Source organism: Homo sapiens, chromosome 16, assembly GCF_000001405.40.
Source record: "Homo sapiens chromosome 16, GRCh38.p14 Primary Assembly".
NCBI lineage: Eukaryota > Metazoa > Chordata > Mammalia > Primates > Hominidae > Homo > Homo sapiens.
Window position 1 is genome coordinate 47354277 of NC_000016.10, and position 13605 is coordinate 47367881.

A 13605-nucleotide genomic window follows, 5' to 3' on the forward strand; every position below is an offset into this window, starting at 1 on the left:
AGGTACCAAGAACACACACTGGGGAAAGGACAGTCTCTTCAATAAATGGTGTTGGGAAAATTGGATTTCTACATGCAGAAGAATGAAAGTCAACCCCCATTTCTCATCATATTAAAAAAATCAATTCAAAATAGGTTAAAGCCTTAAAGGTAAGACTTAGAACTCTGAAACTACTAAAAAAATACATGGGGAAATACTTCATGACATTGGTCTTGTCAAGGATTTTTTTAGATAAGACCTCAAAAGCACAGGCAACAAAAGCAAAAGTAGGCAAATGAGATTACAGCTAACTAAAAAGCTTCTGCACATCAAAGGAAACAAGTAAGAGTGATGAGACAACCTAAAAAATGGAAAAGGTATTTGCAATCTATACATCTGACAGTGTTAATATAAGAATTAATAAGGAACCCAAAGAATTCAATACCAAAAAAAATTGTGATTAAAAATGGGCAAAAGACCTGAATGGACATTTCTCAAAAGACAACACAGAAATGGCCAATAAGTATATGAAAAAATGCTCAACATCATGAATCATCAGAAAATGCAAATCAAAATCACAACGAGATATCTATCACCTCACTCTAGTTAGAGTGGCTATTATGAAAAACGATAGCAAGTGTTGGTGAAGAAGTGGAGAACAGGGAACCCTGACATATTGTTGGTGGGAATGTAAATTAGTACAGCCATTATGTAAAACAGTATGGAGTTTCCTAAAAAAATATTACGAATAGAACTATCATATGATTCAGCAATCCTACTACTGGGTATATAGCTAAAGGAAATGAAATCAGTATTTCAAGAGATATCTATATCCCTATGTTTATTACAGCACTATTCACAATAGCCAAGATAAGGAAACAACCTGAGTCCATCAAATGTATGAATGGATAAAAAAAAATGTGGTATCTATATACAATGATATATTGTTCAGACACGAAAAGGAATGTAGTCCTGTCATTTACGACAACATGGATGAACCTGGAGGTCATTATGTCAAGTGAAATAAGCCAGACCCAGAAAATAAATACCATATGAATTCACTCATATGTGGAATCTAAAATAAGTAGATCTCATAGAAGTAGAGAGAATAGTGATTATCAGAGGCTGGGGAGAGGATATGGAGAGAGCTTGGTCAAAGGGCACAAAGTTACAGTTAAGACTGGCAGAATACTTTCTGGTGTTCTACTGCACAGTAGGGTGACTATAGGTAGCTGTGATGTATTGTGTATTTCATAATAGCTAAAAGAGATTATTTTTAATGTTCTCACCACAAAGAAACGATGCTTGAGGTGATAGATTTGCTAATTACTGATTTGAACGTTACACAATGTATACATGTATTGAAACATCACATTGTATCCCACAAATATGTATAAGTATTACATGTTAACTAAAAATTTACAAAAACCTACAAAAAATTTATATTCTGAAAGCTTGTTTTATTCCAACAGAAATCAATTTTTAATAAATTTTATATCAAAATCACTATTGCTTGGGTTTATTTTTTCTGGAATCCATAAACATATATTCTAGAATTATAGATATACATAATCATATTTTTGAGATGGATGACTTGGGAGAGTGGTCAAAGAGTATAAAAATTCTAAAAATAATATGTGAAAACCACAGGGAGCAGATGGAGAAGATTCACTATCAAAACACATGGTTCTAAAAGCAAACAGCATATATACTAGTAGGTCACTGTTGGTGACCATTACTGAAGATGATAACATATTTTAAAATTTAAACTAATGCAGATGAAGAAGGAGTGTATAGTGTTTAAGGTAAGGATACAGCTTGTGAGACAGAGCCAAAGATCATGTCCCAGCTCTGCCACTCCCTCCCTAGCTATGTGCCCTTGGTCAAGTTTCTTAACTTCTCTGAACCCCTATTACCACATTCTATAATGTGGCTAAACAATATTGTTCACCTCAGAAAGGTTTGGAAAGATTACTTGAGATAAATGTAAAATATTTTCTATGAAATAGTTTCTGCCAAAAATAACTATTTTTGAGCATTATGAAAAAGAAGCAAAGAGACATTTGCAATATACAAAACTTGTAAATCCTTTCAACGTCACTGATTAACAAAAATTTGAAAGCTTTCTCTTGATTAAATTCAACATATATTAGTTACAGAGGGTGATGTGATGATAGGCAGGGGCAAGTTAAATACAGAGAATGTCCACTTGTCTGTGTGTAACAAGGACTAAAAGGGAACTGTCTTGCTACTAGGGAACCGAACAGGAAAATAGGATTGCTTTGTGAGAGAGTCGGAGGGAATGGATTGCTGTGAATAAGTGATAAGTAGTAAAGGGCACTTTCATCCATTCAGTCACTATCCATCCATCACCCACCATTCATTCAACCCATCAATTCATTATTCAGCTCTTCATTGGGTTAAGGTTAAGCACAGAAAAGCTGTGTACATGCCTACATCCAAGAAGCACAACTATGACTTATCAATGAATGGGGCATTTACACAGAGTGAAAATGTGGAGTTACGGAGGGGAAAATATGGGGTTGAAATGGAAGTCAGACGTGTTTGAAAATAGGGCAGGATATTTTCTGCCTAGGAGTGGCATTAGGCTCTTCATAATGAGCTCCTATGCCACTCTGACTCATGGCAGGGAATTCCTCTCAGGTGTAATGTGCCATAGAGAAATAAATCTCACCATCTTTTGGTCCTTCCTAGCTATATGTATCTGTAAGGTCTAACAATAGCCAAGTTATCTGCAATAATCACTTTCATAGTACTGTTGCAATAAAAAAAAAAAAGAAAGAGCTATGCATAGTTAACAGAACAGTTTCATGGGGTGCTCCATTTATCATAGATCAATTATATTAACTAGGGTAGGCTTAGAGTGACAAATATTCCAATTAATTTGTGGGTTATATTAGAAAGTATTAAACATACCATCTATTAAATTACAAAATAGCAATATAATAATGTAAAATACAACATTATCCCATAGCATTTTTAAGTATGCTAAATTTAATATTGAAAAGGCTGAGTATACATTCATAATACCATTCATCATTAAAAAAATTAAATGCGGCTGGGCGCAGTGGCTCCCGCCTGTAATCCCACCACTTTGGGAGGCTGAGGTGGGCGGATCGTGAGGTCAGGAGATCGAGACCAACCTGGCTAACATGGTGAAACCCCGTCTCTACTAAAAATACAAAACAATTAGCCGGGCGTGGTGGTGGGCACCTGTAGTCCCAGCGACCCGGGAGGCTGAGGCAGAAGAATGGCGTGAACCTGGGAGGCGGAGCTTTCAGTGAGCTGAGATCATGCCACCGCACTCCAGCCTAGGTGACAGAGCAAGACTCCGTCTCAAAAAAAAAAAAAAAAAAAAATTAAATGCAATGCACAGTATAGTCTTGAGAATACAATATGTCAGAGGTATATTTAGGAAAAAAACACTCTTACCTAGAAAGGCATGAATTTATTATATGCAAACCTGTACAAAATGGCTCCAGGGATATAGAGTCCTAGTTTTTCCTCATATTTGTATACCTTAAAAGAAACTAATATAGCCTAGTCTGCTTTAGATGTTGAATATGTAAAAAGTCAAGACTATGAAGCAGCCATTTTATAATTTTTATATAAATTATGATTTCCAATCAAAAAGCATTCAAAATATTTATCAGAATCACATCTGGCATCCATGACTCACCAAGATAGATGCCTCAGAGAAGTCTTTGCTACAAGGTAGAAACTCAGGAACTAATCACTTTTGCTGTGGTAACTATTGCACTGCAATCATCACAGACATGGAATGAAAAGGAAATACTAATGACCTGGGTTTATTATTTGTTTGAAAGAGTATTGCAAATATTAGAAGAGGACTCTAAGAACACCTCACCACTTTGGGTGCTTTGTGGCAATGAGTGCACATAAAATATTTGTTTTACCAAAAATTTCTAATAGCATTGTCCTTTTTTGATGGGATAGGAGCAGAGTAGGCTAAGGGAGACAAAGGTCCCGCAGGTTAGAGGGAGAACTGTTTTAACTGATTATGATGACTTCGAATACATGGAAACAGAATTGGCACTATGAAAAAACAAAAGGATATTAAGAAGCTGTACAAATACAGTTGTCTATTTAAATGCTAAATAACAGTAAATACTGTAGATAATGTATGTTGTTATCTACTGGTCAGAATTCATGAATTAGAAAATGTAAATAGGAAGACTAAGAATTAACAATTTATAAGGATCCAGGATGTCTCCTACTGAAACCAGCACCCATGCATTTTAGATTCAGAACAATTTTTAATCACTTAACTTTAATCAAAATAAGCAAAAGTAATGATATGTTAATCTTTATCATATGAATGAATCTCAGAAGTTCTGGTTTAGGATTATAGTTGAAGGTCTTAATATTTCCTAAACTTAATTCTTAAAAACCATTTATAATATTTTGAAATTTTCAATGTTAATACTGAATAGTTAATATCCAATTGAATAGAGTATTTTTCATTTAATTAAATAATTCATTTAATATTATTCATTAGTATTTATAATGTGACTGGCACTGCTATAGGCTTGAGAGATATAATGGTGGACAAAATACACCAATGGAGTTCTGGTGAGGGCACATGAGTAGAATGAATACCATGTCAGCAATAGTCTGCAATGGAGAAAAATAAAGCAGGAAAGCAGGGCGGAAGTGCTGGGGGTAGGGTTTACAGTTTTAAATAGAGTGGTCAGGGAAGGCCTCCAGGAGAGGGTGATGTGGCAAAACCAGAAGGTGGTATGGGGGTGAGTCATGAGGAATATCATGCAGAGGGATAAGCAAGGGCAAAGGCCTCAGGAGGGACAATTTGCAGAACACCAAGGAGGCAATGTGACTGGAGCACAGGTGCATTTATAATGTTAGAAACAAAGGCAGGATGCTTTGGACATGCGCTCCTTCATTTATCCATTATCTGTCTTCTAAATGGCAGTTAAACAAGGACATGCTAATATCCAACTCTGTGTCTCTCCAGAGCTTTTATCTCCCATTTGTATTTCATTTTGTCTTCTAACAGACATCTCAAACTTAACATGTCCCAAACAGAACTATCAATTAACAGAACTCCAGAGTTCCTCTTCCTACTCCTTTCCTACCTCATCAAATGGCGCTGAGTTGTTCAAACCAAAAATCTAGAAATCAGTCTTCTTTTTCTCTTCCCCTCAACATCTAATCCATCAGCATTTCTTGTCAACTTTGTCTCCAATATGTCCTAAATAAGACTATTTCTATCCATTTCCTGGTGGTTTCCCTGGTCCAAGTCACCATAGCTTTTCCCTCTTAACTAGTCCCCTTGAAGTTTCCAGTTACATTTAGAATAAAATCCAAACTCCTTGTTACCTTTGTCCACAAAGCACTACAAGACCTGGCCAAGTGCCAGCCTTCTTTTTGTTCCTTGAACATCAAGCTTACTGTTGCCTTAGAATCTTCACTTATGTGTTCCGTCTGCATGGAGCATTTTCCCCAAAAACCTTCTACAACTTCACTCAAGTCTCAGATCAGATGTAACCTCCAACGAGCTACTTAAAATAGCCCTTCTCATTTCCTATTATAGCCCTTTGTTTAATTCCCTCAGAGCTCTTACAACTTTCTAATAATTCCTTATTAATTTAATTGTTTTTGTCTTTCTTCCCTCAATAGAATTTAAACTTCATGAGAACAGGGTTTTTGTATGCTTGAGGCTTGGCTATATGCCAAGCATATAATACACAGCCAGTCCAAATAGTAGGAACTCTAAAACGTTTTTTGAATTCATTAACCAATGCCTTGTACACAATAAAAATATTTCATTATAAAACAGAAAGGCAACTAAATGGAAGGAAAATGAATTGCTCCACAATTTTAAAGAATAAACATGCTATTTGACTGAGCTATTTGACTGAATCCTATGTATGTACCATACAATTTGAAGAATATCAAAGTATTATAATGCAGCACTTACATCTAATTTGCCCATATTATACATATTAATGTACTCTGTATTTACTTGATAATTTCTGACTGGCAATGACAGTGATATGGTACAGTAGTACATTTAAGAGAGAATATCTGCAACTTCAAACATTCCTCTGTTTTATTGATTTTTTGACTAGTGTTCAATGTCCCTTTTCAATGAAAAGGGCTACTTAACGAAACAGCAGCCAATTTTCAACTATAAGATACAAACAAACAAGAGTGCCATTAATGTAAGACTGTGGACCAAAAGCCAATCTTAAATGATTTACATAATAAGACCAAGTACAGAAAGCATAGCACCCAGAACTTTCTGCTTTCTAGCTTCTTTTATAATATAATCATCACCTGTTTATTTGAAGGCATTTGATTTTTAAAATTCTTTTGTGAGAGAGAATATGAACATTCAATTACCAATTAGCATTCAGACTAAATATAAAATTTACATTTCCACACACGGCGCATCTGATTTACTTTCCAGATCAAACATGAACAAGAAACAATTTTAATTTGTCAGATGGTTACTCAATACACCTAGCCATAAAACAAAGGAAGCATAATTGCTATAAATGCTTTGAAATCAGCTCCACGATGGTTAATTTAGAATTAACATCTGAATCTTTACCAAATATTATAAGGCTTCACAAAACAACTTTAATGTGGGGTGTCCCTACCTTTCTCCTTTACTTTACTAAATGTCATTGATTACTGTGCTAGGTACTGGGTGTACTCATTGAATCATATTTGGGGTTAACCATCAATGACACTATCTTTAAGTTGTTCAAGATTTTCTAGTATGTTTATAACTTTCACGAATGACAGTTTTCCATTTTCATTAGTTCCTTTATTTTTTATAGGATTATTTAGATCTGACTGAAAATTCCAAGGCCCAATTCATCATGCCCAGTATTCTCCCTTTACTTGAAGAAGAAAGTGTGATCTCCTTCTGAAGATGTGATACACAGCAGTTAGCATGAGATCTGTATAATTTATAAATAAATTTATATGACATTTACAATAATTCAATCTATAAAAAATGCTGACATTCTGTATAAGGTTTCTGTTTTCCCTTCAGTTTTATAGCTTTTATTGATTTCCACTACACCTAGTATTACATACAAAATTGATACCCATTTTCTCTAATTTCTATTGACTTTTTGTCCTATATAATTTAATAAGAGATAACACCTTATTTATAGGAATTCTAGAATTTGATATTCAGAGCCTACGTAGAAAGAGACTCAAGATTAAAATACAGTTTAAAAGGAAGATATAGTAGGGCAAGACAGAAAACATGTCTTCTAGAAGATACACCTTCCTTGATTATTTCTTAGGTATGAGAGACATTTATGGGTTGCAGATGTTCCAAATATGAGACCAGGGCCCAGAACCTCATCTGACACTTACCAGTAGCAGCAAGTATTTATTGGGTAATTTCTATGACTAAGGGACTGCTCTAAGAATTCTGCAAATGATAACTTTTGGGCCACTAATACCCTGCTAAAATGAAAATCTAAAGGTCTTTTCTTGGTCTTCTTTTGCATTATATTTTAGTATCTGCCGATGGTTTCTGACCACCTTTTAGCACCCATTTTTCTCCCTACTTAGCCCTCTGTCAATCTCCATTTTACACCTTCTTGTTTGGAGGGCTCATCTCAGTCTTGACCTCTTCCCTCTTAAAGGGCTCTCACACCTGCCCTGGCTTTTTCCCTCATCTTAGGTCTGCTAAATGTGATGGCTTTGTTGTCTTTACAGCACGATTAATGTGATAACTTTAAAGCGTCTCAGTACCCAATCCAGCTCCCTCTCCTGATTTACCTATCTTTGTGAATAGTATCACCCTTTTTTAGGTAATTCAGAGTCAATTTTTTACTTTTTACTCTCTCTAGTGTCAAACCAATCAGCAAATTTACTGATTCCCTCCACATACTGATGTAGTCCAGCTCCGGCTCTCACCACCTCATGCCCTGACCTGTCTCCTGAGTGGTTTCCACCTTTAGAAAATACTGCATTTTAAGACTGTTTAAATCTGCCTCTCTTTTAACATCAAAATCTCAGGCACCTCAGAGGTTCTAATAATCTTCCTCTGAACTCCTACTGCATGCTCAAGAAGCATTACATTATGCATATCCCACCAGACCAGAAATTTTGTTCAACTTTACTTTCTGAAGTTAATAAAAAAGGTATTAACAAAGAGATGTTCAAAATTGTTCTACTATTTCCCATCACTTCTACAGAATAAAATCAACATTTGTTCATCTGTTATTCATTTGGTAATCCAATGGATTCCCAGGCCATTTATTATGCTTCTATATTTTTACAGAAACTGTCGATTCAACCCAAAGTGGTTTATTCACTAGTCACTAACCAAACCATTTTTATGTCTCCACATATTTTTAGCCAAAGTCCAGTACAAAATCTCACCACTTCCATGAGGCTTTTGTACCCTTTCTCAGCTTAGGATAATCTATGTTTCCACAAGACTTATTAGCACTTTTTCCATGGCATTAATTTCATAATCAACAATGAAATGCAGTTTGGTTTCTCTTATATTGTGGCAGTTACTTGTTGCTTTACTCTTGTATTTTTTTTAACATATTCATATTCTGTCTTCCCAACTGGACTATAAATTTCTTTCTTTCTTATTTATTTATTTATTTATTTTTTGAGAGGGGGTCTCACTCTGTCCACCCAGGTTGGAGTGCAGTGGCACGATCACTGTTCACTGCAACGTCTGCCTCCCAGGCTCAAGTGATCCTCCCACATCAGTCTCCTGAGTAGCCTGGACCACAGGCTTGTGCCACCACGTCCAGCTAATTTTTTTGTATTTTTGGTAGAGATGGGGTTTCATCATGTTGCCCAGGCTGGTCTCAAACTCCTGAGCTCAAGTGATCCTCCCGCCTCAGCCTCCCAAAGTGTTGGCATTACAGGTGTGAACTATTGCACCAGGCCTGTAAAATTCCTAAAGACAAGGATGTTACCTTTAAAATCAGTTTTCTTACATAGTATTCAGCACAATATTTAAAGCATAATAGAAGTTTAATTTTTTTCAGAGGTCTAACTTTTACATTTTATTTGGTGTTAAAGACCCTGTGAAACTACACAACCTCTTCTTTCATTCTTTAAAAAAATTTTTTTTAGAGATGAGGTCTCACTTGTGTTGCCTAGGCTAGGGTGCAGTGGCTTGACCACAGCTCACTGCAGCCTTGACCCCCTGTGCTCAAGCAATTCTCCTGCCTCAGCCCCGAGAAGCTGAGACTACAGGTACAAACCACCACACCCAGCCATACACAACCTTTTCTAAATGAGTCGTTCATGCCACTCAGAAAATAGTATCAATTTTACATGAACTCAAAAGTTCTATGATAAAAATAACACTTTTTTTACTGGGCAGTAAGTATATACTTTGGTTTATTTCTTGCCATTGTTGACTACTACTTCTCTATAATTTACTTTTTTGCTATTAAATTAACATATTATTCTAGCCACATAACAAAATTTGGAAAATAGGGAATAAGATAATCTATTTTCCTACTTTAACAAAACCATTATTACCCTTTGGCTCTGTTCCTTTCTAGTCTTCTCTTTTTTTTTAGACAAGTGAGCTGGGAGCCATTTAAACACTTCTCTTTGGTACAGACTTCTTGTCACTTACATCACTTATTTAAGCATGTGCACTCTTTATCAACTGAATGGTAAATTTCTTGAATCATGCTGACTTCCTGGCGGTCAGTCACTTCCCTTGTTTTGGTTCAAAGGAAGTAGGTGGAAAGGAAGATGGAGGGCTGGATGCAATTCACAAATATATTCAAATGTACACTTTTCACAGGAAAAATGCATATTTTTGATATGTTAATATTCATATTTTTGGACCCAGCAGTCTTTTTTACCAATATTCAACTAAAAATACATGAACTTTTAAAAAGCCAATGTGTGATATTTATTAAAAGTGTACTATTAAAAAAGTTTACTGATGAACTACCCAAAGCTATTAAAAACATGGAGCAATAGATATGTTTCTTAATTTGACTGTGTCTTATAATCTGCATATCTTAAAAACACTAACATGCAAACGTTTATGTTTAGCAAAATTGTAAAAAATCCTCAAAGTAAAGCTACTAATAATTTTGTTAAAAGTAAGGCATTTTATGATATAAAACACACGATCATAAAAGATATAACTTTAATTTGGAGTTTTTAACCAGGGCTTAAGGGGGTCAGAGAGATCTCTGTACTCCCTGAAAATTATGTAGTACATATACACTTTTTTCCTAAAGAGAGACTTGCAGATAGAGCTGTTATTAATCTAGCTAATCAAATTAGCCAGAAAATTCCAAAAAATAACATCATGTGTTCTATCACTTGACTATTGGCATTAAAAACTGTAAAGGCAACAGAAATTTACTTAAAATTAACATAATATTCAATATAACTAAAATACAGGACAACATAGAGATTCATGTTAAAATTTCCATGATATGACATTATCAAACCTCCTGGTTTAGCTGTGTTGGGATACATCCATATGACACTGAACAGTGACTTGATTTAGTCAGCTGCATACAGAGCAGCAGAGGCAACAAGAACAAAAAACATGTAAGTCCAATGAATAGACTCAAACTACAATTTGAGATGAGGTTCCACTATGTTGCCCAGGATGGACTTGAATTCCTGAGCTCAAACAGTCCTACCAAGTAGCTCGGGCTATAGGCGAGAGCCACTGTACCCAGCTCAAACTCTAACTTCTTGTGCTCTTGCTATAAGCCTGTCACTGTGCTTCATTTACATTGTGCTATTCATAATAGCCTTTAGAGGTGGATATTACTGTCATTCCCATTTTATATATGAAGAAGCTGAGGTATCTGAACATGGTGATGTCTCATCTACATTTTGAGGAAAGCCTACGGTGGTTTATTGGCATAATGAAGGATCAGCAGGATGGGAACAAGCACTGAACAGCTTTTAGGTGGGGCAGACCACTTTCCCATCTCATACAATTACTCTGACAAATGATAAAAAGAGCCACATATGCTTTGGAAGTTCCTGACCAATGTGAACTTGATTGTGCAGAATCTTACGGAAAACAGAAATTCATATGTCCTCTTTTGGGTAATTCATAATAGACATTAATCTGCTTTAAAATTAAGTTGTAATAAAAATGGCTTTTAGTATTGGTTTTAAGAGGTCATATTAACTCCTTCACTTCTATTTGTTCCATATGTTGTATATACGTGAAGAATTTACGGTAATTAATACCTGGAATTCTCTAGAAAAAGTCTCAGTAGTTTTCTTGTTTTGCATATTACTTCTGCAAACAGTATCAAACTATTTTTTAAACACATCATAAATTTCTCCTTATTTCATTAAGGAATTGACATGTCACATACAATACTATTATGGAATAGGCATCTTTTGAAGCTATAATAGCTCTGAAGACCCTGGAGTTATTTCCTGCTATGGGGAATTAATATAAATAGAACAGAAAGAAGGAGAGAATTGGAAAGGCAAAAGCCTTTTTTTTTTTTTTTTACCAAATCTTACCAAAGTCTGCAAATGCTGACTGTCCAACCACCATCATATTTTGAGGTTTTTCCAATATAGTACTGACAGAGAAGTTTCCATCCTGTTAAATGAAGAAAACTTTGAATTAGACCATCTTAATCCACTCATTTGTTAAGTGTAAAACAAAGCATTCTAACTGAACTGGGGAAATAAATAACTTCAGTATTTTGTTGTATTGCACAAAAATTATTCCAATCTCCTGTTTCACTTTTATTTTGAAGCAAAGGAAACTCCTGTGAGTTGAGGAAGAAAATATGAATGTGGTATGCTTTCCTTGCTGTCAATTCTAGTATCTTTTACCAAATCATCACCATAATTTCAGAGAGTAATAATTTCAAGTACTGTGGAAGGCTTTGGAAATGTAAAGAATTATAAAACTAGTTCCTATCCTCAAAGAGCTTACAGTCCAGTTGGGAGATAGAATATAAGTCAGAAAAATAGGATTTCTGACGGTAACACATAATTAGTATAAGTACAAAGACATGTTTTGCAGATTTTAAGGGAAGAAGATTCTGTTGGGAACAATTAAGAAAAGATATTGAAATGAGAGGAGAATTTCATTGATCCTTAAAGGGCCAATCCATCAACTCAAGTTTACATATCAATGAGAAGAGAAGCAAAGGATTGCAACAGCAGCCATGTGCTGACTGAGAAGCAGAGGTGCCTAAGCTAAATAGAAAAGGAGAGCTTATCAGCGATCCTTTGTTTCACTCACTCTTTCCAAACAAAAACAGCACACATCTGATTACCAAAAATAATATGCATTTCTTTAAATTATTGCCTTTCCCTTCTTAATTTTAGATTATTACACAAGAAAAAGAAATCAAAACAATGAATTTGAAATTCTGAGCTCTCAGGTTTGTACAGAGTTCTTCTTATCACTGACCTCTCTATTTTCTGTTTGAGATACTGACTCTGATTCCTACATACTGTATACAGGATATCTGTATACTTTAAAATGAGTTTTTCCTTCTTTGCTCCTCTAAGGATACTGTAGATCTGTCTGAGTAAAAAAATGAGCACTGGTTTTCTCCCTTATGCTCTCTCACAAGAATCAACAGACATAAGACTTCTGTGACTAAATGTGGGGGACTTCTCCCCACCATAAACAAGCAATCATTTCTGCAGTGGATACTACCTGGCTGTCCTCTAATTCCACAGGTTGAGGGCTCAGTCCCTCAAATTACCCTAGACACCAGTCCAAAGTTTGGACCTCCAGTATTTCTGCCTGACCAGCTTCAAGTTGGGACTCACACCACCCCCTCTTTGGATTCACAGCTGGAGTGGCTCGCAGAACTCTGGGAAACATATTTACTTAGTTATTATAGAGGATATTACAAAGGATACAGATGAAGAGATGAGTAGGGCGAGGTACGGAAGGGTCACAGAGCTTCCATGCCCTCTCTGGGCACTCCAACCTCCAGGAACTTCCACCTGTTCAGCTATCAGGAAGCTCTCAGAACCTAGTTCTTTTAGGTTTTTATGATGGTTTCATTATGTAGGCATGATTGGTTAAACCGCTGGCCACTGGTGATTACTTTAACCTTCAGACTCTCCCCCATTCCTGGAGGCTGTGGGGAAGGGCTAAAAGTCCCAATCCTCTAATCATGTCTTGGTCATTCTGGTGACCAGTCACATTCTGAAGTTATTTTGGGGTTGCCATCCACCAATCAACTCATTAGCATACAAACAGACATCCCTTTGGAGATTCTAGGTCTTTCAGAAGTTCTATGTTAGGAAGTGGGGACTAACGCCAAATTTGTATTTCATATTATCACAATCTGCAAGTTGGTTTCTTAAGAAATCACTGCTGATCTTTACAGAGAAATGCTATAACAAAAGCACAAAACCCAAATGCTTGAGGACCATGAGTAAGGAAATAAGATTTTTCATGTGACAAGCAATGTTCCAACCACTTTAACACTCCATTGTCCCTGTGCAGAAACATGTTTCCCCTCCCATTATTAAAGCATCTGATGTATTTTTCAATGATTTTCTATAGACATCTTATTTAGTAAGTGTATTAAGCCTCAGGCTTTCCCTCCAGTCTTACCTAGAACCTGAAACTGCACT

General features: G+C 35.7%; 1 protein-coding gene across 2 annotated transcripts in view, besides 1 other annotated feature; it reads right to left on the reverse strand.

The window, feature by feature from the left end:
• Positions 1-13605, reverse strand: part of ITFG1 (integrin alpha FG-GAP repeat containing 1) — a 306856-nt gene that overhangs the window by 199886 nt on the left and 93365 nt on the right. For both annotated transcript variants that reach the window (NM_001305002.2, NM_030790.5), the window contains exon 8: positions 11512-11593. In NM_001305002.2, coding sequence (NP_001291931.1) covers positions 11512-11593 — 82 coding nt within the window. The remainder of the gene's footprint in view (positions 1-11511; positions 11594-13605) is intronic.
• Positions 11850-12593: an enhancer, noted in NCBI's record as "OCT4-NANOG-H3K27ac hESC enhancer chr16:47400037-47400780 (GRCh37/hg19 assembly coordinates)". NCBI's record gives its function as "activates a minimal SCP1, AML or CMV promoter by ChIP-STARR-seq in naive and primed H9 embryonic stem cells {active_cell/tissue: H9 hESC(naive and primed)}" and the evidence as "EXISTENCE:reporter gene assay evidence [ECO:0000049][PMID:30033119]".